Source organism: Homo sapiens, chromosome 19 (assembly GCF_000001405.40).
Source record: "Homo sapiens chromosome 19, GRCh38.p14 Primary Assembly".
Lineage (NCBI taxonomy): Eukaryota > Metazoa > Chordata > Mammalia > Primates > Hominidae > Homo > Homo sapiens.
This window is the reverse complement of record NC_000019.10, coordinates 2,819,369-2,841,321: the sequence shown is the minus strand read 5'-3', so window position 1 is coordinate 2,841,321 and position 21,953 is coordinate 2,819,369. Positions and strand designations below refer to the sequence as shown.

Genomic DNA, 21,953 nt, shown 5'->3' with positions numbered 1-21,953 from the left:
GCGTCCCTCATTGGATACTTGTCTCGGCCCCGCCCCCGCCCGTCCTGACTGGGTAGTTCCCTAGGGCCCACCCCCTGCCGGTGAGTGACGGGAGCGTTGCGAACACGCGTGGCTGTCCCGCCCTGCGGGGACACTGGCTTCTGGGCGAACTGGTTTCAGCCCGGGGCGGAATCGCCCTCTCCCCGCAGTTCGGGCGCCCCGCCCGCGTCCTCCTCCGGGACGGGCGTGGGAACTCCAGACTAGTTTCCTCACGAGGCGACCCCTTGTCCGGACAGGAGGTGGATGCAAGCGGGCGGCCCGGGCCTGGCAGGGCGAACGGGGGCTGGGCGCCGGGTCCGAAGGGCCGAGACCTACGTGGGGGCGGGACCCGCAGACGTGACGTCATCGCGCTGCGGGCGACATGGAGACCCCGCCCAGGGGGCTGCGAATCCGGAGACCCGGTCTGGGGGAGGCCGAACCCAAAGCCTGGCAGGGGGCAGGAGCTTTGCTCAAATCAACCAGAAGATATGAGATGTTCATTAAAACCCTCACATTTGGCTGGGCGCAGTGGCTCACGCCTGTAATCCCAGCACTTTGGGAGACCGAGGTGGACGGATCATCTGAGTTCAGGAGTTTGAGACCATCGTGGCCAATATGGTGAAACCCTTTCTCTACTAAAAATACAGAAATCAGCCCGGCGTGGTGCCGGGCGCCTGTAATCTCAGCTACTGGGGATGCTGGGGCAGGAGAATTGCTTGAACCCGAGAGGTGGAGGTTGTAGTGACCCGAGATCGCCCCACTGCAGTCTAGCCTGGGCGACAGAGTGAGACTCCATATTAAAAAACAAAAAAACTCTCAAGTTCATATTTTAAACTCTAAGGAAAATGTTTTCAGATCATTTTTTTAAGTACATCCCCCCAAAATTTGGAAGATTGAAAAGCTGGCCGGGCGCTGTGGCTCACGCCTGTAATCCCAGCACTTTGGGAGGCCGAGGCGGGCGGATCACCTGAGGTCAGGAGTTCAAGACCAGCCTGCCCAACATGGCAAAACCCTGTCTCTACTAAAAATACAAAATTAGCCGGGCGTGGTGGCGCGCACCTGTAATCCCAGCTAGGGAGGCTGAGGCAAGAGAATCGCTTGAGGCCGGGCACGGTGGCTCACGCCTGTAATCCCAGCACTTTGGGAGGCCGAGGCGGGCGGATCACGAGGTCAGGAGATCGAGACCATCCTGGCTAACACGGTGAAACCCCGTCTCTACTAAAAAATACAAAAAAATTAGCCAGGCCTGGTGGCGGGTGCCTGTAGTCCCAGCTACTCGGGAGGCTGAGGCGGGAGAATGGCGTGAACCCGGGAGGCAGAGGTTGCAGTGAGCCGAGATCGCGCCACTGCACTCCACCACTCCAGCCTGGGTGACAAAGCGAGACTCCGTCTCAAAAACAAACAAACAAACAAACAACAACAACAAAAACAAAAAGAATCGCTTGAACCCAGGGAGGCAGAGGTTGCAGTGAGTCAAGATCATTCCACTGCACTCCAGCCTGGGGGACACAGCAAGACTCCGTCTCAAAAAAAAAAAAAAAAAAAAAAGGAAGTCTATAATATTGCACAACAGGAACGTATCTAACGCCACTGAACTTTAGACTTAAAAATGATGAACATGGTAAATATTTGTTATTTGTATTTTACTACAATTTTTAGATGTTATATTTAAAACAGAAAAGGCTATATTTCTAAGGATATTGAATCCCTATTTTAACTGATATAAGAAAAACACGCAAAAGTTTAAATGAATTGGATTGAACCTTAGGAGGGAAGTGTTTTTTTTTTAAATTTTTGGTTTTTTCAGTCTTGCTCTGTCACCCAGGCTGGAGTGCAATGGCAGGATCCCGACTCACTGTAAACTCCACCTCCCGGGTTCAAGTGATTATCGTACCTCAGCCTTCCGAGTAGGTGAGACTACAGACCTGCCCCGCCACACCCAGCTAATTTTTTTGTTTTTTGTTTTTTTGAGACGCAGTTTCGCTCTTGTTGCCCAGGCTGGAGTGCAATGGCGAGATCTCGGCTCACTGCAACCTCTGCCTCCCAGGTTCAAGCGATTCTCCTGGTTCAGCTTCCCGAGTAGCTGGGACTACAGGCACCTGCCATCATGCCTGGCTAATTTTGTATTTTTAGTAGAGACGGGGTTTCTCCGTGGTGGTCGGGCTGGTCTCGAACTCCCAACCTTATGTGATCCACCCGCCTCGGCCTCCCAAAGTGCTGGGATTACAGGTGTGAGCCACCACGCCTGGCCTACTAATTTTTATTTTTTTAGTAGAGATGAGGTTTCACCATGTTGGCCAGGCTGGTCTCAAACTCTTGACCTCAGGTGATCCACCTGCCTCGGACTTGCAAAGTGCTTGGATTACAGGTGTGAGCCACCACACCCAGCCTTCAATTTTTTTTAAAAAAAGGAAAAACGATTGTGATAGGCCTGAAAACACTGAATACACTTAATAGACAGGGGCTGAAAACCAAACACAGTTAATGGTTATTCATTTCAGAAAACTCCATAGCTTAAGTGGTTGTTCAAATTCTGATATTGACATTTCATTTAGAAACAATTTTTAAAATTTATTTTTATCTTTCCTAGGAAGGTTTTACACACTTTTATAAAAATTAATGTTTAGAGGACTGACATAGGAAAGCAGCTTCCAGTTAAAAATAGTGTGCCCGGGCTCGGTGGCTCACGCCTCTAATCCCAGCACTTTGGGAGGCTGAGGTGGGTGGACAACCTGAGGTGAGGAGTTTGAGACCAGCCTGGCCAACATGGTGAAAGCCCCATCTCTAATAAAAATACAAAAAAAATTAGCCGGGCGTGGTGGCGCATGCCTGTAGTCCCAGCTGCTTGGGAGCTGAGGCAGGAGAATCGCTTGAACCCAGAGGCAGAGGTTGCAGTGAGCCGAAATCTCACCATTGCACTCCTGCCTGGGCAACACAGTGAGACTCCATCTCAAAAAATAAAATATAATTGCTGGAGGGAGATAACAAGACTGAAAACAGTACAGTCAGGAGACTTCTAAGTCAACCCTTCTCAAGAATATGCTGGAAGTTACAGATGCTTTCCCCAAAAAACACATCAATGCACCAGCACACAAAGTTGTTCTCAAAGTTGTTCACAGAGCCCCTAAAGAAACTTACTCATCAACCCAATAGGGTCTAGACTGACCATGGATCAAGGATCTCTAAGGAAAAGCAACATGTTCCATTTGGGTGAAAGGAGATCTGACGGGCAACCTCCCTCATTAGCTCAAGGAAAAAGGGAACATTCACAGGAAAGTTAGATGAGTCCTAAGAGAAAATTTGTAAAATTTTTTTGAGACAGGGTCTTGCTTTGTCACTCAGGCTGCAGTGCGGTGGTATGCTCATAGCTCACTGCAGCCTCAGCCTCCTGGGCTCAAGCGGTCCTTCCACCTCAGCCCCCAGAGTAGCTGGGACTACAGGCGTGAGCCACCATGCCTGGCTAATGTTTGTATTTTTTGCAGAGACAGGGTCAATGTTGCCCAGGCTGGTTTTGAACACCTGGGCTCAAGTGATCCTCCCACCTCAGGCTCCCAAAATACTGGGATTGCAGTTGTGAGCCACTACACCCAGCTTTCCAAGAGAACATTTGGAAAACAGTTCCCCTGCTTGGTGGCCTGGCAAATGAGGTGTGGCTTTGTACAGGGTGCTCAAGGTCAAATCCAGAGTCCACTACTTTTTTTTTTTTTTTTTGAGACAGAGTCTCACTGTCACCCAGGCTAGAGTGCAATGGCACCATCTCGGCTCACTGAAACATCAGCTATTCTCATGCCACAGCCTCCTGAATAGCTGGGCCTAGAGGCGTGCACCACGACGCCCAGATTTTTTTTTTTTTTTTTTTTTGAGACAGAGTTTCACTCTTGTTGCCCAGAGCTGGAGTGTAATGGTACTGTCCCAGCTCACAGCAACCTCCACCTCCCGGGTTCAAGCGATTCTCCTGCCTCAGCCTCCGAGTAGCTGGGATTACGGGCATGCACCACCATGCCGGCTAATTTTGTATGTTTAGTAGAGATGCGGTTTCTCCATGTTGGTCAGGCTGGTCTCGAACTCCTGACCTCAGGTGATCCGCCCATCTCGGCCTCCCTAATTTTTGTATTTTTTGGTAGACATGGGGCTTCACCATGTTGGCCAGGCTGGTCTCGAACTCCTGACCTCAAGTGATCCACCCACCTCAGCCTCTCAAAGTGCTGGGATCACAGGTGTGAGCCACTGTGCCCAGCCCAGATTCTACTCCTTTCTAATTGTGTGACCTTGAGCAAATTATTTCCGTTTTGTCTTCTGTAAAATGGAATGTGAATAGTGATTATCTCATGGGGTCGTGAGGGCTAAATGAAGAACCACATGGAAGTACTTGGCTGGTGCTTGGTATACAGTAAGCATCCAATACATGTTCATGACGATAATGCACATCAGCACTCCTGGTCTTGATTTTGCTAGGGACATCTCACAGGCGGGACTTTTCCCAGGCCACCAAAGGTCATTCCACCCTCTATGTCCCAAAGTCTACTATACTATGTCTCTACCATCTAGGTACCCACAGTCTATCCTGACTCATCAATGAGGTTCCGTATCCTTCACAATTTTGGGTGCTATTTGATTTGTATTCATTGTCAAAATGATTATGGCAATACAAAATGAAACGGCAGAAAACACAAAATCACACATAATTGGAACACCCCAATCATTGCGTAAATGATTCATTTCTTCACGTCTCTGTCCAGCCTTTGTCCTTTTGTGAATGGATCAAATTACTAGTACTATTTTGAAGCCCTTGTATTTTTTAAACTTTACCTCCAAAGCGCTTTCCGTCTTAGCATATACTCTGGATCAGCACAGTACTGCAGAAGACAAACGGATCTAGCTAAGTGGCCAATGTGAAACACTGAAACAGAATGCTGAAATAAAGGCCAGGAGCAGTGGTTCACACCTGTAATCCCAGCACGGCGGCTCGCACCCATAATCCCAGCAGGGTGGCTCACACCTGTAATCCCAGCACAGTGGCTCGCGCCCGTAATCCCAGCACAGTGGCTCACGCCCGTAATCCCAGCACGGTGGCTCACACCCGTAATACCAGCACGGTGGCTCACACCCGTAATCCCAGCATGGGCAGCTCACGCCCGTAATCCCAGCACAGTGGCTCACACCCGTAATACCAGCACGGTGGCTCACACCTGTAATACCAGCACTTTGGGAGGCCAAGGTGGGTGGATTGCTTGAGCTCAGGAGTTTGAGACCAGCCTGGGCAACCTGGTGAAAGCCCATCACTACAAAAATACAAAAAAAAAATTTAGCTGGGTGTGGTAGCGGTGCACATGTGTAGTCCCAGCTACCGGAGAGGCTGAGGTGGGAGGATTGCTTGAGTCCAGGAGATGAAGGCTGACTACAGGGAGCTATGATCACGCCACTGCACTTCAGCCTCAGCAACAGAGTGAAAACTCGTCTCATATAAACCCAGAAAAGAATATTAAAATAAAAACAATGAACAATGAAATAAAAAGTAAAGACACAGAAGTAGTTAAGAAACAGAACACCTTTTGTTTAAGCAACTAAATTAACACGTGATGGTTCTTGGCAAGATCCCATCCATGACAGCATTCCCGTCCACCAATCTTTTCCGAAAGTCTGGAGCTTACTGGACGTAGTGTAATGGCAACTCCTCCCACTAAAAGGCCCCGTCAGGCTGGGCACAGCGGCTCATGCTTCTAATCCCAACACTTTGGGAGGCCAAGACAGGAGGATGCTTGACCCCAGGAGTTCAAGACCAGTCTTGGCAATGTAGCAAGACCCCAACTCTATAATTTTTTTTTTTTTTTTGAGACGGAGTCTCGCTCTGTCTCCCAGGCTGGAGTGCAGTGGTGCGATCTCGGCTCACTGCAAGCTCCACCTCCCGGGTTCACACCATTCTCCTGCCTCAGCCTCCTGAGTAGTTGGGACTACAGGCGCCCACCACCACGCCCGGCTACTTTTTTGTATTTTTAGTAGAGACAGGGTTTCACTGTGTTAGCCAGGATGGTCTCGATCTCCTGACCTCATGATCCACCCGCCTCGGCCTCCTAAAGTGTTAGGATTATAGGCATGAGCCACCGCACCCTGCCTCCCACTCTATAATAAATTTAAAAATTTGCTGGGCGTGGTGGTGCACACCTATAGTACTAGCTACCTGGGAGGCTGGGGTGGGAGGATTACTTGAGCCCAGGAAGTTGAAGCTGCAGTGAGGTATGATCACGCCACTGGACTCCAGCCTGGGTGGCAGACTCCATCTCAACAACAACAACAAAATACAAAAATGCCCATTCTCAGAGCTTTCTTATAAGAAGGTGAGAAGGTGACATAAACCCACTTCTTTTCAAATTATCCATCACAACAGGGCAAAAGATAACCACATGTATGTGTCAGAGTACTAAAAAGTGGCTTACAAAGCAGCGTGCAATTGCTAATATCCAATAAGATGTCTGTTCTGGTAGAACGCTTTCCCACAGTCAATGATTTTATAGGTTTTCTGGCTGCTGTGAGTTTTCTGATGTGTGACAAGGGATGAGCTCTGGCTGAAGGCTTTCCCACATTCCTGACACCTGTAGGGTTTCTCTCCAGTGTGAGTTCTCTCGTGCCTCACAAGGGAAGACCTCTGGCTGAAGGCTCTCCCACACTGCTTACATTCATAGGGGTTCTCGCCCGTGTGAGTTCGCTCGTGCTGGTTGAGAGAGGAACGGTCACTGAAGGCCTTTCCACATTCACTGCATTCGTAGGGCTTCTCTCCGGTGTGTGTCCTCTTGTGCAAGATCAGGTAAGAGCTCTGGCAGAAGGATTTCCCACAGTCTTCACATTTATAGGGCTTTTCCCCGGTGTGAATCCTCTGATGCTGAGTCAGCGATGAGATCCTGTTGAAGGCTTTCCCGCACTCACCGCACCCGTAGGGCTTCTCTCCAGTATGAGTTCTCAGATGGCGCGTGAGGGTGGAGCTGTGCGTAAAGGCTCGCCCACACTCCTGACACTCGTAGGGTTTCTCCCCCGTGTGAATTCTTTGATGTTCGCTCAAAGAATGCCTCCGGTTGAACACCTTCCCACACTGGTGGCACTCAAAGGGTTTCTCTGCCGTGTTGATTTTGTTGTGGATAGTCAGGGCCATACCGTGGTTCAATGACTGCCCATTTTCCAAATACACAAACATCTTCCCCCCGTGTTGAATAAAGTGACTGTTCTGGCGGATGGCATTTCCACATTCATTACTTTCACAAGGTCTCCGATCTGCATATCCCAGCTGATGGTGGTTTAAGACTGAATCGGATGCCAAGCTTGTAATATCTAACTCGCTGCCACACAAGTGGTTCCCTTTAGAGCTTCCCTGTGATAAAACAAGGGCTGGGCTCAGATTACCATTTTCCCCAAATCCATGCCATGCAGTAGCCTTCTCCTGAGGAACGGCCACTACGTGAAGGGATGCCTTTTGGCTCAAAAGCCCCTGGGGGTCTTCATGGCTGTCCTCTAACTGCTTCCATCCCCCATCTTCTCTGATAAGCTTTATCATATTTATACCACTGGCTGGTTCCTCCTGCAAAGCCACCTTCTTGTAAGTTGAGTCTTGGTTTCTTAGTACAGTCATCCAATCTGAAATAAATTGAGGCGGAAACCATTTTTTTAGAAGAAGAAACAGCTACTTGAAAACCAGCGGGACAGAAGTCCTTCTGACATCTACAAGGCCTGTGCGGACTGATGTTCAAATATCAACTCTGAACATGCGGGAAGGATGGGAAAAAGAGAGATGGGTGGCAAGGAAGGCCACTGAGGATGAGATGCAGCAGTGGAAGATTGACAGTGATGGGAAAAGGCAGGGAAATATCAATGCAGAAAGAAATTACTCTGTAGGCCAGGTGCAGTGGCTCACGCCTGTAATCCCAGCACCTTGGGAGGCCGAGGCAGGTGGATCACCTGAGGTCAGGAGTTTGAGCCTGATCAACATGGTGAAACCCTGTCTCTATTAAAAATACAAAAATTAGCTAGGCGTGGTGGCACACACACCTGTACTCAAGAGGCTGAGGCAGAAGAATCGCTTGAACCTGGGAGGTGGAGGTTGCAGTGAGCCGAGATCACACCACTGCACTGTAGCCTGGGCAACAAGAGCGAGACTGTTTCAAAAAAAAAGAAAGAAATTACCCTGTTAAGCTGGGAGAATATGTCTGGCAGAGAGAAAGAATTATCAAGAAAGCAAAGAGGGAAGAGACAACTAGAAACATAGGCAAAATGGCTTCAAGAAGAAAATGGGGGGAAAAAATAGAAGAAAATGGGGCCAGGAGTCATGGCTGATGCCTGTACTCCCAACACTTTGGGAGGCTGAGAAAGGAGGATCACTTGAGTCCAAGAATTCAAGACCAGCTTGGGAAACACAGTGAGACTCCATCTCTGAGAAAAACAAAATAGGTGGGAGTGATGGCATGTGCCTATAGTCCCAGCTGCTCAGGAGACTGAGGCAGGAGGATCACTTGAGCCCAGGAAGGTGAGGATGCAGTGAGATATGACCATGCCACTGCACTCCAGCCTGGGCCACAGAGTGAGACCCTGTCTTAAGATAAATAAATAAAACAAGAAAATGAGATACTCTTTTCTCTGTATCCAGAGAGAGGTCATGTAAGGTAGTAAAGAGAAGGAGAAAGCTGCCAGAAAATGAACTGAAGGTGTCCGAGAAAGGGATCTTGGCATTCTCCTTACAGAATCAGGGCCTTGTGAAGAGCTCTCTGACCAATGTTTCCCACGATGCCACTGCCATCCCAATGGTTTCTATCTGCCTGATTCTCACCTGAACAGGAGGCTTGAGGAGTTCCTTTTTCCTCTATCCACAGGGCTTCTCTTTGCTCCAAGTGGGAAGAAGCCACTGGTTGAAAAAGTAAATACCCCGTCCATGAGGAAAGACTAGTGACTTGTGAGGTTTGTGCTGGGGAAAGTGGACCCTCTTTAATCCCCACATCAGTACATTGGTTCTTCAAGGCTTCTGAAAAAGACAAGAGTATACTTGAGAGGTAGCACAAGATAATGATTTTATTTTCTAGTTAAAAAATTACAGATCTGTGCCAGGCATGGTGGCTCACTCCTGTAATCCCAGCAATTTGGGAGGCCGAGGCAGGCGGATCACCTGAGGTCAGGAGTTTGAGACCAGCCTGGCCAACATGGTAAAACCCCATCTCTACTAAAAATACAAAAATTAGCTGGGCGTGGTGGTGCATGCCTGTAACCCCAGTTACTCAGGAGGCTGAGGTGGGAGAATCACTTGAACCCAGGAGGCAGAGGTTGCAGTGAGCCGAGGTCGTGGCATTGCACTCCAGCCTGGGCAACAGAGCAAGACTCAGTCTCAAAGAAAAAAAAAATTACAGATCTGGTTGGGCGTGGTGGCTCACACCTGTAATCCCAACACTTTGGGAGGCCCAGAGGCAGGTGATCACTGGAACACAGGAGTTTGAGACCAGCCTGAGCAACATGACAAGACCCCGGACCTACCAAAAAAAAACCAAAAACAAACAAACAAAAAAACTAGCCAGGTGTGGTGGTCTAAGCCTATAGTCCCAGCTACCTGGGAGATTGAGGTGGGAAGATCACTTGAGCCCTGGGGAGGTCAAGGCTGCAGTGAGCTGTGATCACACCACTGCACCCCAGGCTGGGCAATGAGAGTGAGACTCTGTCTCAAAAAAAAAAAAAAAAAAAAAGGGCGGGTGCAGTGGCTCACACCTGTAATCCCATCACTTTGGGAGGGCAGGGCGGGTGGATCATGAGGTCAGGAGATCAAGACCATCCTGGCTAACACGGTGAAACCCCGTCTCTACTAAAAATACAAAAAATTAGCCGGGTGTGGTGGCAGGCGCCTGTAGTCCCAGCTACTTGGGAGGCTGAGGCGGGAGAATGACATGAACTCGGGAGGCAGGGCTTGCAGTGAGCCGAGATTGCAGCACTGCATTCCAGCATGGGCGACAGAGTAAAAAAAAAAAAAAAATTACAGATCTTACATTTCCCCCAAAAATCGATACACAAATGGTCAATAAACACAGGAATGGATGCTCGATGTCATTGGTCATTAGGGGAATGCATATCAAAACCGCAATGAGATACCACTTCACACATATTAGAAAGGCCATAATAAAAAATAGTAAGTGTTGCCAAGGATGTGGAGAAATTGCAACAGTCTGCACTGCTGGTGGGAATGGAAAATATACATGCTGATACAAAACCCAGTATGGGGCTGGGCACAGTGGCTCACGTCTGTAATCCCAGCACTTTGGGAAGCGGAAGTAGGTGGATCACTAGAGGTCATGAGTTCAACACCACCCTGGCCAACATGGCAAAAATCCATCTCTATTAAAAATACAAAAACAGTAGCCGGGTGTGGTGGCGCATGCCTGTAATCCCAGCTACTGGGGAGGCTGAGGCAGGAGAATCGCTTGAACCTGGGAGGTGGAGGTTGTGGTGAGCCTAGATTGTACCACTGCACTTCAGCCTGGGCAACGAGAGCGAAACTCCGTCTCATAAAAAAAAAAAAATACAAAAACAGGTGTGGTGGTGCACACTTGTAATTCCAGCTACTTGGGAGGCTGAGGCATGAGAATCACTTGAACTGCGGAGGCAGAGGTTGCAGTGACCTGAGAGAGTGCCACTGCACTCCAGCCTGGGCAACAAAGTGAGACTCTGTCTCAAAACAAAAAAACAAAAGAAAAGCCAGTATGGCAGTTCCTGAAAAAGCTAAATTCTAAACATAGAATTACCGCATGATCCAGCAATTCTACTCCTAGTATTGACCCAAAGCACTGAAAACAGTGACTGAAACAGATACTTGTTTGCCAATGCTGACAGCAACAGGATTCACAACAGCGGAAAGGTGGAAACCCAGGCGTCCATCAACTGGTGAATGGATGGACACAGCGTGTTGTATACACACGATGGAATCTTCTTCATCTATGAACAAAGCACTGACACAGGCTACAATGTAAATGAACACTGAAAACATCACACCCAGTGAAATCAGCCAGACACAAAAGGCCACATATTATATGATTCCATTTATATGAAATGTCTGCCGGGCACGGTGACTCCTGCCTGTAATCCCAGCACTCTGGGAGGCCGAGGTGGGCAGATCACAAGGTCAGGAGATTGAGACCATCCTGGCTAACACAGTGAAATCCCATCTCTACTAAAAATACAAAAAATTATTAAAAAATTAGCCGGGCATGGTGGCGGGCGCCTGTAGTCCCAGCTACTCCGGAGGCTGAGGCAGGAGAATGGCGTGAACCCAGGAGGCGGAGCTTGCAGTGAGCCAAGATCACGCCACTGCACTCCAGCCTGGGCGACAGAGCGAGACTCCGTCTCAAAAAAAGAAAAGAAAAGAAATGTCCAGGGTAGGCAAATCCATAGAGATGGAGAGTGACTCATGGTTACAAGGGGCTGAAGGAGGGGCTGGGGAGGGAGAATTTAACGGGTACAGAGTTTTGGTTGAGGATAAAAGTTCTGGAAATGGACAGTTGTGGTGGCTGTAGTACATGCTGAATGCATTTAGTGCCACTGAACTGCACACTTAAAAGGGGTGAAAAAGGCACATTTTATGTTTATATAGAGATATATAGATAGATACGTGTGTGCATATATATATGTATATATACTTTTTTTATTTTTTTGACAGGGAGTTTTGCTCTTGTTGCCCAGGCTGGAGTCCAGTGGCACGATCTCAGCTTACCGCAACCTCCACCTCCTGGGTTCAAGCGATTCTCCTGCCTCAGCCTCCTGAGTAGCTGGGATTACAGGCATGCGCCACCACGCCTGGCTAATTTTGTATTTTTAGTAGAGACAAGGTTTCTCCATGTTGGTCAAGCTGGTCTCTCAGGTGATCTACCCCGCCTTGGCCTCCCAGAGTGCTGGGATTACAGGCGTGAGCCACTGCTGTATATATATTTTTTGAGACAGAGTCTCGCTCTGTCGCCCAGGCTGGAGTCCAGTGGTACGATCTTGGCTCACTGCAACCTCTGCCTCTCAGGTTCAAGCGATTCTCATGCCTCGACCTCCCAAGTAGCTGGGATTACAGACGTCTATCACCATGCCCAGCTAATTTTTGTATTTTTAGTAGAGATGGGGTTTTGCCACATTGGTCAGGCTGGTCTCAAACTCCTGGCCTCAAGTGATCCACCCACCTTGGCCTCCTGAAGTGCTGGGATTACAGACATGAACCACCACGCCCAGCCTACATTTTTTATCACAGTAAAAACATTTTTTTTTTTAATGATGGCTCTTTACCTTGGCAGAAAGAGTACAAATGCTCTGTGATATGGTTGAGCTGTCTCCCGACCCAAATCTCACCTCGAATTGTAATCTCCAATCGTAATCCCCACGTGTCAAGGGAGGTACCTGATGGGAGGTGATGAGATCATGGGGGCAGTTCCCCCATGCTGTTCTCGTGATAGTGAGTTCTCATGAGATCTGATGGTTTTATAAGGTTTCCCCTGCTCTCTTCCCTCTCTTGCTGCCTTTTGAAGAAGGTGCCTGCTTCCCCTTCTGCCGTGATTGTAAGTGTCCTGAGGCCTCCCGAGCCATGTGGAACTGTGACTCCATTAAACCTCTTTTCTTGCTTTTTTTTTTTTTTTCTTGAGACGGAGTCTTGCTCTGTCACCCAGGCTGGAGTGCAGTGGTGCAATCTTGGCTCACTGCAACCCTGCAACCTCTGCCTCCCGTGTTCAAGCAAGTCTCCTGCCTCAGCCTCCTGAGTAGCTGGGATTACAGGTGCCCGCCATTTTTAGTAGAGACAGGGTTTCACCACAGTGGCCAGGCTGGTCTTGAACTCCTGACCTCAGGTGATCACCCTTGTGATCCCTAAGTGCTTGGATAACAGGCATGAGCCACCACACCCAGCCTAGGTGGTACTCTTTATAGCAGTGTGAAACGGACTAAGACACTCTGACTTTGTTCCCAAGGGGAATCAGAGAAGTTATCTATGCCTGAGCTGAGACATGCAATTGCACTGCAGCTCCAGCTATCACGTACTGAACAAGTAAGGTCATCTGTTCTCAGAGAAACCAGACCACGAAAGCCACAAAACCAGGACCCATGTCTGTCTTACTTACCAATGAATCCCCCATTCCCAGCATGGTGCCAGACACATAGTAGATGCTAGATGACATGGTTTGGCTGTGTTGCCATCCAAATCTCACCTTGAATTGTAATAATCCCGACGTCAAGGGTGGAGCCAGGGGGAGATAACTGAATCATGGCGGAGGTGGTTTTCCCCATACTGTTCTCGTGGTAATGAATAAGTCTCACGAGATCTGACGGTTTTACAAATGGGAGTTCCCCTGCACAAGCTCTCTTGCCTACCGCCACGTAAGATGTGACTTTGTTCCTCATTCGCCTTCCACCATGATTGTGAGCCCTCCCCGGCCATGTGGAACTGAGTCCATTAAACCCCCTTTCCTTTACAAATTACCCAGTCTTGGGTATTTCTTTATTAGCAGTGTGAGAACAGACTAATACACCAGATAAATGTGAATCAATGAACACAGGAATTAGTGATGCTTGCCTTACCCAGGGAGACCACGTTCCTGTAGTTCTCCAGCATCACCTCTCTGTACAGGTTCTTCTGAGCAGGCTCCAGCAACTCCCACTCCTCCTGGGAGAAGTCCATGGACACGTCCTCAAAGGTTACTAATTCCTAGAATATCACAGCAGTTCTGCTCAAGATGGGTCCATCGCCACCCACGTTCATGGGAGGAGGGGTGAGGTTGGTGGCACCAGGGAAGTTGAGAAAGGTCAAGGTGCAAAGTCCATAAGTCAGTTTCTACTAGCTGCCTTGTGGGTGCTTGTCCTTGGCTTAAAATCAGAGGGACATACAGACCCTAGGCCCACCATCAACACAACAAGGACGACCAGCACACAGGTCTGGATGAAACATTTTGCCCATTTCTTATTGAACTGGTGATTCTAACCTCTGGATCTCTGAGCCTGACATTCCCATGTGAGAATCTCCCCCTGCTGATTCTGAAAATGAATGGATGTCATGGATATGCCACTTGCAAGTTATGGGACTGCAGGTATATTGCTGACCTATCCAGGACACAGCCTCCTCATCTGTTCAATGGAAAGAAGAATTTTATCCAAAGTGTGTTGTCGTGAGGACTAACTAGTTAATATCAGTCACAGCATTTGCTATTGCCATAGTCAGAAGACTGAGAAGCAATACCCAACAAAAAGCAGGATGGAACAGGACCTTCCTCAAAACTCACAGTTATTAGAGATTAGTTCTCTTTGCTTCCATGACTCAGAGTTACACATTACAAGGCATGGACAATGTAAGAAGAGGAATCTGCAGCCAGTCGCAGTGGCTCACACCTGTAATCCCAGCACTTTGAGAGGCCGAGGCGGGTGGATCACGACGTCAGGAGATCGAGACCATCCTGGCGAACGCAGTGAAACCCCGTCTCTACTAAAAATACAAAAAAATTAGCCGGGCATGATGGCGGGCGCCTGTAGTCCTAGCTACTCGGGAGGCTGAGGCATGAGAATGGCATGAACCCAGGAGGTGGAGTTTGCAGTGAGCCGAGATCACGCCACTGCACTCCAGCCTGGGCGACAGAGCGAGACTCCATCTCAAAAAAAAAAAAAAAGAGGAATCTGCTACAACAACCTTGACCCACTGAAATATGGCAAAAGCTTTGTTGTTTCAACATATGAAGGGGCTGATGAGTGTTTAGGGCCTGAATGGCTATCCAGGTAATCCATGGTATAAAACAGCACGTAAGCTGGTATCTGCTGTAAGATGTAAAAGTTGGCTGGGCACTGTGACGCATGCCTGTAATCCTAGCACTTTGGGAGGCTGAGGCAGGTGAATCACAAGGTCAGGAGTTCAAGACCAGCCTGGCCAACATAGTGAAACCCCATCTCTACTACAAATACAAAAATCAGCCAATCGTGGTGGCACGTACCTGTAGTCCCAGCTACTCAGGAGGCTGAGGCAGGAGAATCGCTTGAACCGGGAGGCAGAGGTTGCAGTGAGCGGAGATTGTGCCACGGCAATCCAGCCTGGGTGACAAAGCAAGACTCCATTTCAAAAAAAAAAAAAAAAAGTTACTGGCTGGGCACGGTGGCTCACACCTGTAATCCCAGCACTTTGGGAGGCCGAGGCAGGCGGATCACCTGAGGTTGGGAGTTCGAGACCAGCCTGACCAATATGGAGAAACCCCGTCTCTACCAAAAATACAAAATTAGTCAAGCGTGGTGACGGGTGCCTGTAATTGCAGCTACTCGGGAGGCTGAGGCAGGAGCATTGCTTGAACCTGGGAGGCAGAGGTTGCAGTGAACCAAGATCACGCCACTGCACTCCAGCCTGGGCAACAAGAGTGAAACTCCATCTCAAAAAAAGAAAGAAAGAAAGAAAAGATGTAGAACCACTTCTAGCACCTGAACCATAGGCATACAGGAGGCACCCTGAGCTTTCAATCCCAGCCTTAAGGGCCCTGTATGGACTCGCTTCAGTCCACCCCTGTCTTATGCCTTCACCTCTCCCTCTTCAGTTGCATCCTGGAAAAAAAAAACAAACTCTTCCGACTTTGCTCACACTGGTAATCCCAGCCCTTTGGGAAGCCAAGCTGGGAAGACTCTGTTTGAGCCCAGGAGTTCAAGACCAGACTGAGCAACACAGTGACACCCAGTTTCTACAAAAAATTTTTAAAATATTTTAAAAATCCCACTCCAGGATGTGCCTATAATCCCAGCACTTTGGCCTTTGAGGCCAGGAGTTCAAGTCCAGCCTGGCCAACATGGTGAAACCCTGTCTCTACTAAAAATACAAAAATTAGCCAGGCATGGTGGCGAGTGCCGTAATCTCAGCTACTTGGGAGGCTGAGGCAGGAGAATCGCTTGAACCCGGGAGGTGGGATCTCAGCGTGAGCTGAGATTGTGCCACTGCACTTCAGCTTGGGCAACAGAGCGAAACTCTGTCTTAAATAAAACTGCAGAGGGCGGACGTGGTGGCTCACACCTGTAATCCCAGCACTTTGGGAGGCCAAGGTGGGTGGATCACCTGAACCCAGGAGTTCACAGCCAGCCTGGGCCAACATGGTGAAACCCCGTCTCTACTAATAATACAAAAATTGGCTGGGTATGGTGGCACATGCCCATAATCCCAACTACTTGGGAGGCTGAGACACAAGAATAGCTTGAGCTTGGGCGGCAGAGGTTGCAGTGAGCCAAGATCGCGCCACTGCACTCCAACCTGTGCAACAGAGCAAGACCTTGTCTCAAAAAAAAAAAAAAAAAAAAAAAAAAACAACTGCAATCACGTTATGCTCAGTGAGAGAAGCCAGACACAGAAGGACAAAGCCTGTGTGGTTCCACTCCTAGGAGGTCCCTAGAGTTGTCAGATTCAGAGAGACAGAAAGTAGGATGGGGGGTACCAGGGGCTGGGGAGGGGGACAGGGAATGAGTGTCTCATGGGGACAGAGCTTCAGTTTGGGAAGAGGAGGAAGTTCTAGAGAGGAGGGTGGTGATGGTTGTCCAACTTAATGCCATTGAGCTGTGCACTTGAAAACGGCTAAGACGGTAAAGTTCATATGTATTTCATGTGTTTCATCAACGGCTAAGATGGTAAAGTTCATATGTATTTCATGTGTGTTTTATCAACAGCTAAGACGGTAAAGTTCATATGTATTTCATGTGTGTTTTATCAACGGCTAAGATGGTAAAGTTCATATGTATTTCATGTGTGTTTTATCACAGTTACAGAAATATTCTTTCAGGTAAAGAGGAGGATGCCTTCCTGGGCAGCACTGCCTGCTCTCCAGGGGAAGGTGCTGGATCCCACCTGTTGATGGCAGTGGCTGATGCCATCATGTCAGCAGCAGCAGGGAGGTGCCACCGGGGCTGCACACTCCATGGAGCTAGTGGGAGCCCCGTCCTCCTGTAGCTGTGGATTCGAGCCTCCCTGTGCTCTTGGGGGAACTGAGAAGAGGCAGGATCTGCCCTCCTGGGTGCAGCTGAAGCTGCCAGACCCGCAGCTGCAGACCTGGGCCTCGCACTCCAGGAAGCAGGCAGGAGCTGGAGACAAGTGAGAGCCCTGCCTCCTCCAAGTGGGCGAGGCAGGAGCTCCTGGGTGCAGCCGTGGCTGTCCTCCCAGGCGCAGGACCCAGGCATCTCTGCAACCTGCACCCTCAGGAGTCTCAGGAAGGACTCCCTAGTCCCTGCAGGTTCAGGGGTGTCTGCTCCCACTGCCTGGCCTCTCTCAGAGTGGGGTTTGGGCCAAGTCCTAGGGCCGTGAATGGCAGCAGGAGGCAGATTAATTCCTGGGCAGAAGGGGGTGGGTCCCCAGTAAGGCCCCACCTTCAGGCCAGGGAGGGCCTGAAGACTGGGGGCCAGGCTGCCAGTCCTACAGACCAGAGTGGGGACTCATGGTGCCTCTTTCGACCCTCCCATGGCCGCCCATGAACCAGTCGGCACACACTTCCTCCCCTCTGAGGTCCGTAAAAGCCCTGGGCTCAGGCTTAGCAGGGCAGAGGACGGCCAGAGGACAAAGAAGGCAGACAGATGACAGGATGGGACCGGACGACCAGCTGCAGAGAGGAGTACCCTCTCCACTGAAGGCTGCAGAGATGATCTGCCGGCAGAGAAGAGCTACCATCCCTGCTGAGAGCTTCAGAGAGGAGCTACCGTCCCTGCTGAGAGCTTCAGAGACCTGCAGAGACGTCCGAATGACTTGCCTGTGGAGAGGAGCCACCCTCTCCTAGGCCTCCTCTCTGCTGAGAGCTGAACACTCGACCAGACAACCTGCCAACAGGGAGGAGCTGCTCAATCCTCTGAGCTGCTCTAACAGTAAATACAACTCTTCTTCACCCTTCACTTGTCTGTATACCTCATTCTTCTTGGATGCAGGACAAGAACTTGGGCAAAGGTACCACAGCCACAGAGGTTTCCAGCCAGAAAAACTGACACCCCAGGGATCCCGTAATACTGTCTCCTAGGGAGAGGCTGTGCTCAGTCCCAATACTGAGGGTCACTCTTTACACCTGGGAGCAGCAGGAGTACCTCATCCCACACACCACTCCTGGGGAATTCTCCTGAACTTTCACATAGCAAGGGGTCTCCTCTATCGAGGACTGAGTTTCTGGTGGGATTGTTCCCTCTGGATATACTGGGTGCCCTTTGGGAGAATGAGGACATCTCACCTGGGACCAGCGGGGCAGGTACCCAGCAGCCATTCTCTCCTCTTGGGAAAAGCAGGTTCCTGGGCAGGCAGAGCTGTGGGGAGGAAAAAGGCGCTGCGAATACCAGATCCAGGCCAGTCCCCAGATCCCAGAGCCCTTGGCCTGGAGAACCTCCATTTGCTTGAAGGGGCCCCCCATACACAGAGGGAGGTAAACTGAAGCCAGAACCCAGGACTGAAGCCAGGGTTTGTGTTTTTTAAGAGATAGGGTCTCCCTCCGTTGCCCAGGCTGCAGTGCAGTGGTGCAATCATAGCTCATCTCATGGCAGCTTCAACCTCCTGGGCTCAAGCTATCCTCCTACCTCAGCCTGTGGCTGGAACTACAGGCACCACCATGTCCGGCTAATTTTTTGTATTTTCTGTAGAGACGGGGCCTTGCTATGTTGTCCCAGGTCTATAGCTCCTGGGCTCAAGGGATCCACCTTCCTCAGCCTCCCTAAATTCTGGGATTAAAGGTGTGAGACGCCACACACATCCATGGCCAGGGGTCTTAAAGGCCCCATTTTATGGATGAAGGTCCTGAGGCCCTTGGAAGCAAACAAGTTTACAAAACACCCAGGCTCCATTAGGAAGTGAAGCGCTCCATGCATTTCCTGAGGCTGTTTTCACAAGGTGCCAGTAACCCGGGGGCTTAAAATAACAGGAATATATCCTTTCCCAGTTCTGGAAGTCTGAGATCAAGGTGTGGGCAGGGCTGTACTCCCTCTGAAGGCTCTAGGGAAAAGCTCGGGTATGGTGGCTCATACTTGTAATCCCAGCACTTTGGGAGGCTGAGGCGCGAGGATCACTTGAGCCCAGGGGTTCAAGACCAGCCTGGCCAACATGGTGAAACCTCGTCTACTAAAAATACAAAAAAAATAGCCAGGTGTGGTGGCACATCCCTGTAAACCCAGCTACTCAGGAGGCTGAGGCACGATAATTATTTGAACCTGGGAGACAGGGGTTACAGTGAGCCAAGACTGTGCCACTGCACTCCAGCCTGGGCAATGGAGCAAGACTCTATCTCAAAAAGAAAAGATAAGGAAAAGAAGAAACAAAAGCTCTCAGGAAAAATCCTTCCGCCTCTTCCAGCTACTGGGGTCATGAGTATTGTCCTTATAAGAGAAAGAGACAGCTGGACTAGGTGACTCACGTCTGTAATCCCAGCATTTTGAAAGGCCAAGGCGGGCAGACCACGAGGTCAGGAGTTCGAGACCAGCCTGGCCAACATGGCAAAACCCCCGTCTCTACTAAAAATACAAAAATTAGCTGGGTGTGGTGGCGTGCACCTGTAATCCCAGCTACTCGAGAGGCTGAGGCAGAATTGCTTGATCCTGTGGGGTAGAGATTGCAGTGAGCCGAGATCGTGCCACTGCACTCCAGCCAGGTGACAGACCGAGACCCCATCTCAAAAAATAAAAATAAAAACAAAAAAGGAGAAAGAGACACAGGGAAGAAGGCCACATGATGATGCAGGCAGAGCTTGGAGTGATGTGGCCCCAAGCCAAGGGACACCAACTATGGCAGGCCACCCCCAGAAGCTGGAAGAGACAGAGAAGATCCTCCCGCCAGAGCCTTCAGAAGCACCACGGCCCCACCACATCTTCATGTTGGGCTTCTGGCCTCCAGACTTGTGAGAGAATAAATTTCAAGCCTCCCCCTGCCCCCTGGTTTGTGGTGCATTGTCACAGCAGCTCCAGGAGGCTCATGTAAGAACCAAAGGCGCCGGGCGCAGTGGTCACTTTGGGAGGCCGAGGTAGGTGGATCACCTGAGGTCAGGAGTTCGATACCAGCCTGGCTGGCCAACATGGAGAAACTCTGTATCTACTAAAAATATAAAAATTAGCCAGGCGGGGTGGCGTGCACCTGTAATCCCAGCTACTTGGGAGGCTGAGGCAGGAGAATCACTTGAACCCACGAGGTGGATGCAGTGAGCCGAGATCGTGCAACTGCACTCCAGCCTGGGCAATAGGGCGAGACTGTCTCAAGAAAAAAAAAAGAAGAAGAAAAAGAAACCAACCTGTTTGGGTAGGGGAGAGTTCAGGGAGGTTGGGGTTGCTAGAGCAGCAGAAAGGTCAGCTGCCTCCCTCATTCCTCAACATGGGTGGTGGGTATAAACAGAATAGACCCTTGCAGCTGCGCGGTGGCTCACGCCTGTAATCCCAGCACTTTGGGAGGCTGAGGCGGGTGGATCACCTGAGGTGGGAGTTCGAGACCAGCCTGGCCAACATGGTGAAACCCCGTCTCTACTAAAAATGCAAAAATTAGCCGGGCGTGGTGGCATACGCCTGTAATCCCAGCTACTTGGGAGGCTGAGGCAGGACAATGGCTTGAACCCGGGAGGCGGAGGTTGCAGTGAGCCGAGATCATGCCATTGCACTCCAGACTCCGTCTCAAAAAAAAAAAAAAAAGGACCCTTGCTGTCTTATCACCAGGACAGCGGTGCTAACGTATAAGTGAGGTCTCTCCCTCAGGGCGCTGTGGACACTGGAGCCTGGGTCATTCTCTGGGCTGGGCAGGGTGCTGAGTTGCATCCCTGGCCTCCACCTACTCCATGCCAGGAACTGCCCCCAGTTATGACAACCACAGACGTCCCCAGACATCGCCCGGTGTCCCCTGGAGGGCAGGACCGCCCCTCGCTCAGACCCTCTGATGTGGCCTCACTGCAGTGCGAGCGTGGCAGCCCCTCTCTGCCTTTAGGGTAGAGTCAATGCGTCTTCTCCCTCTCCTTGCAGGCTGGGCCTCGGAAAGCTTATGCGTCTCTCACCCAGGGGCGTTTTCACAGGGCAAGGGCAGACCGTGCCATCCTGGGCGTTGGGGCCCTGGGCGAGCTGCCGGCTCCCGACCCTCCCGTGGGGACCCTATCGCGACAGGGTCATGCCCCGGCCACCCGGCCCCGCCAGACCCAGCCCCACCAGAGCCCCGGCAGGCCCGGCACGGAGGTCGCGGCGCGGGAGGCGGCGGCACTTACGGCTGAGCTGCCGGGAGCCGCGCGCGCCGGCCCAGGTGGGCGCAGGTGACCATCGGGGCGCGCGCTGAGGCGCCAGACAGGGCCCCCGAGGCGGGAGCGCCCCGTGCAGGCCGGCCGGCCTCCCCTGCGTGTCCCTGGGACGCCTCCTCCGCTCGGCTCCTCGGCGCTCGGAGCGGACGCCCCCCGCAGGCGCCCCTCAGGAACTCGCCGCAGCCGCCGCCACCAACCCCGACGCGCGCAGAGGTAAACTCGGCACTGCGCCTGCGCACCCCGAACCTGCGAACTACAAGTCCCAGCAGGCCCCGCAGCGCGGCGCTGGGCTCCTGACTCTCCAACCTGGGTCACAGCGCCGCCTCCGGGCGGGCGGCGTCTCCGCAGGACCACGATGCCCCTGCGGCTGTTGGATCCACCCCGTGTGGTTCGCTGGAGTCCCCGGGTGTTGTGGGGTTCGCGGAGCCAATCCTCAAATCCCAGCTCCGTCGTTTCCCGGCGGCTTGCCATTGGATATTAATAACTACTATTATTTATTAAGCAAGTTATATAAACGTATAATGTATTACATACTTATTAAAATGATTGCTTAAGTAATTGTTGTTTGTTTTTGAGACTGAGTTTCGCTCTTGTCGCCCAGGCTGGAGTGCAATGGCATGATCTCAGGTCACTGAAACCTCCGCCCCCTCGGGTTCAAGCGATTATCCTGCCTCAGTCTCCCAAGTAGCTGGGATTACGGGCGTGCACAACCACACTCGGCTAATT

At 50.7% G+C, this 21,953-nt stretch overlaps 1 protein-coding gene across 7 annotated transcripts, besides 7 other annotated features; it reads right to left on the bottom strand.

Annotated features, from left to right (window-relative positions):
* Positions 77 to 266: a silencer, noted in NCBI's record as "silent region_9813". NCBI's record gives its function as "represses an Ori minimal core promoter by ATAC-STARR-seq in GM12878 lymphoblastoid cells {active_cell/tissue: GM12878}" and the evidence as "EXISTENCE:reporter gene assay evidence [ECO:0000049][PMID:35858748]".
* Positions 277 to 386: a silencer, noted in NCBI's record as "silent region_9812". NCBI's record gives its function as "represses an Ori minimal core promoter by ATAC-STARR-seq in GM12878 lymphoblastoid cells {active_cell/tissue: GM12878}" and the evidence as "EXISTENCE:reporter gene assay evidence [ECO:0000049][PMID:35858748]".
* On the bottom strand, positions 4,587 to 21,454 carry ZNF554 (zinc finger protein 554). Of its 7 annotated transcripts, XM_047438128.1 has the most exons (6): positions 21,198 to 21,454; positions 18,210 to 18,282; positions 17,720 to 17,811; positions 13,579 to 13,705; positions 8,828 to 9,019; positions 4,587 to 7,641 (listed from the first exon to the last, which is right to left on the bottom strand). In XM_047438128.1, the coding sequence occupies exons 4-6, from the start codon at positions 13,676 to 13,678 to the stop codon at positions 6,470 to 6,472; spliced, it is 1,464 nt and encodes a 487-aa protein (XP_047294084.1). In that variant the 5' UTR covers positions 13,679 to 13,705; positions 17,720 to 17,811; positions 18,210 to 18,282; positions 21,198 to 21,454; the 3' UTR covers positions 4,587 to 6,469. The 7 variants fall into 7 exon arrangements, with proteins under 7 accessions (XP_047294084.1, XP_016881724.1, NP_001096121.1 ...); XM_017026235.2 differs by having other exon boundaries at positions 13,122 to 17,811; NM_001102651.2 differs by lacking the exon at positions 17,720 to 17,811.
* Positions 6,824 to 7,024: a silencer, noted in NCBI's record as "peak3239 fragment used in MPRA reporter construct". NCBI's record gives its function as "represses an SCP1 promoter by STARR-seq MPRAs in K562 erythroleukemia cells {active_cell/tissue: K562}" and the evidence as "EXISTENCE:reporter gene assay evidence [ECO:0000049][PMID:32103011]".
* Positions 12,964 to 13,164: a silencer, noted in NCBI's record as "peak3238 fragment used in MPRA reporter construct". NCBI's record gives its function as "represses an SCP1 promoter by STARR-seq MPRAs in K562 erythroleukemia cells {active_cell/tissue: K562}" and the evidence as "EXISTENCE:reporter gene assay evidence [ECO:0000049][PMID:32103011]".
* Positions 20,350 to 21,043: an enhancer, noted in NCBI's record as "H3K27ac-H3K4me1 hESC enhancer chr19:2820277-2820970 (GRCh37/hg19 assembly coordinates)". NCBI's record gives its function as "activates a minimal SCP1, AML or CMV promoter by ChIP-STARR-seq in naive H9 embryonic stem cells {active_cell/tissue: H9 hESC(naive)}" and the evidence as "EXISTENCE:reporter gene assay evidence [ECO:0000049][PMID:30033119]".
* Positions 20,350 to 21,415: a biological region, named in NCBI's record as "H3K27ac-H3K4me1 hESC enhancer GRCh37_chr19:2820277-2820970".
* Positions 20,976 to 21,415: a silencer, noted in NCBI's record as "silent region_9811". NCBI's record gives its function as "represses an Ori minimal core promoter by ATAC-STARR-seq in GM12878 lymphoblastoid cells {active_cell/tissue: GM12878}" and the evidence as "EXISTENCE:reporter gene assay evidence [ECO:0000049][PMID:35858748]".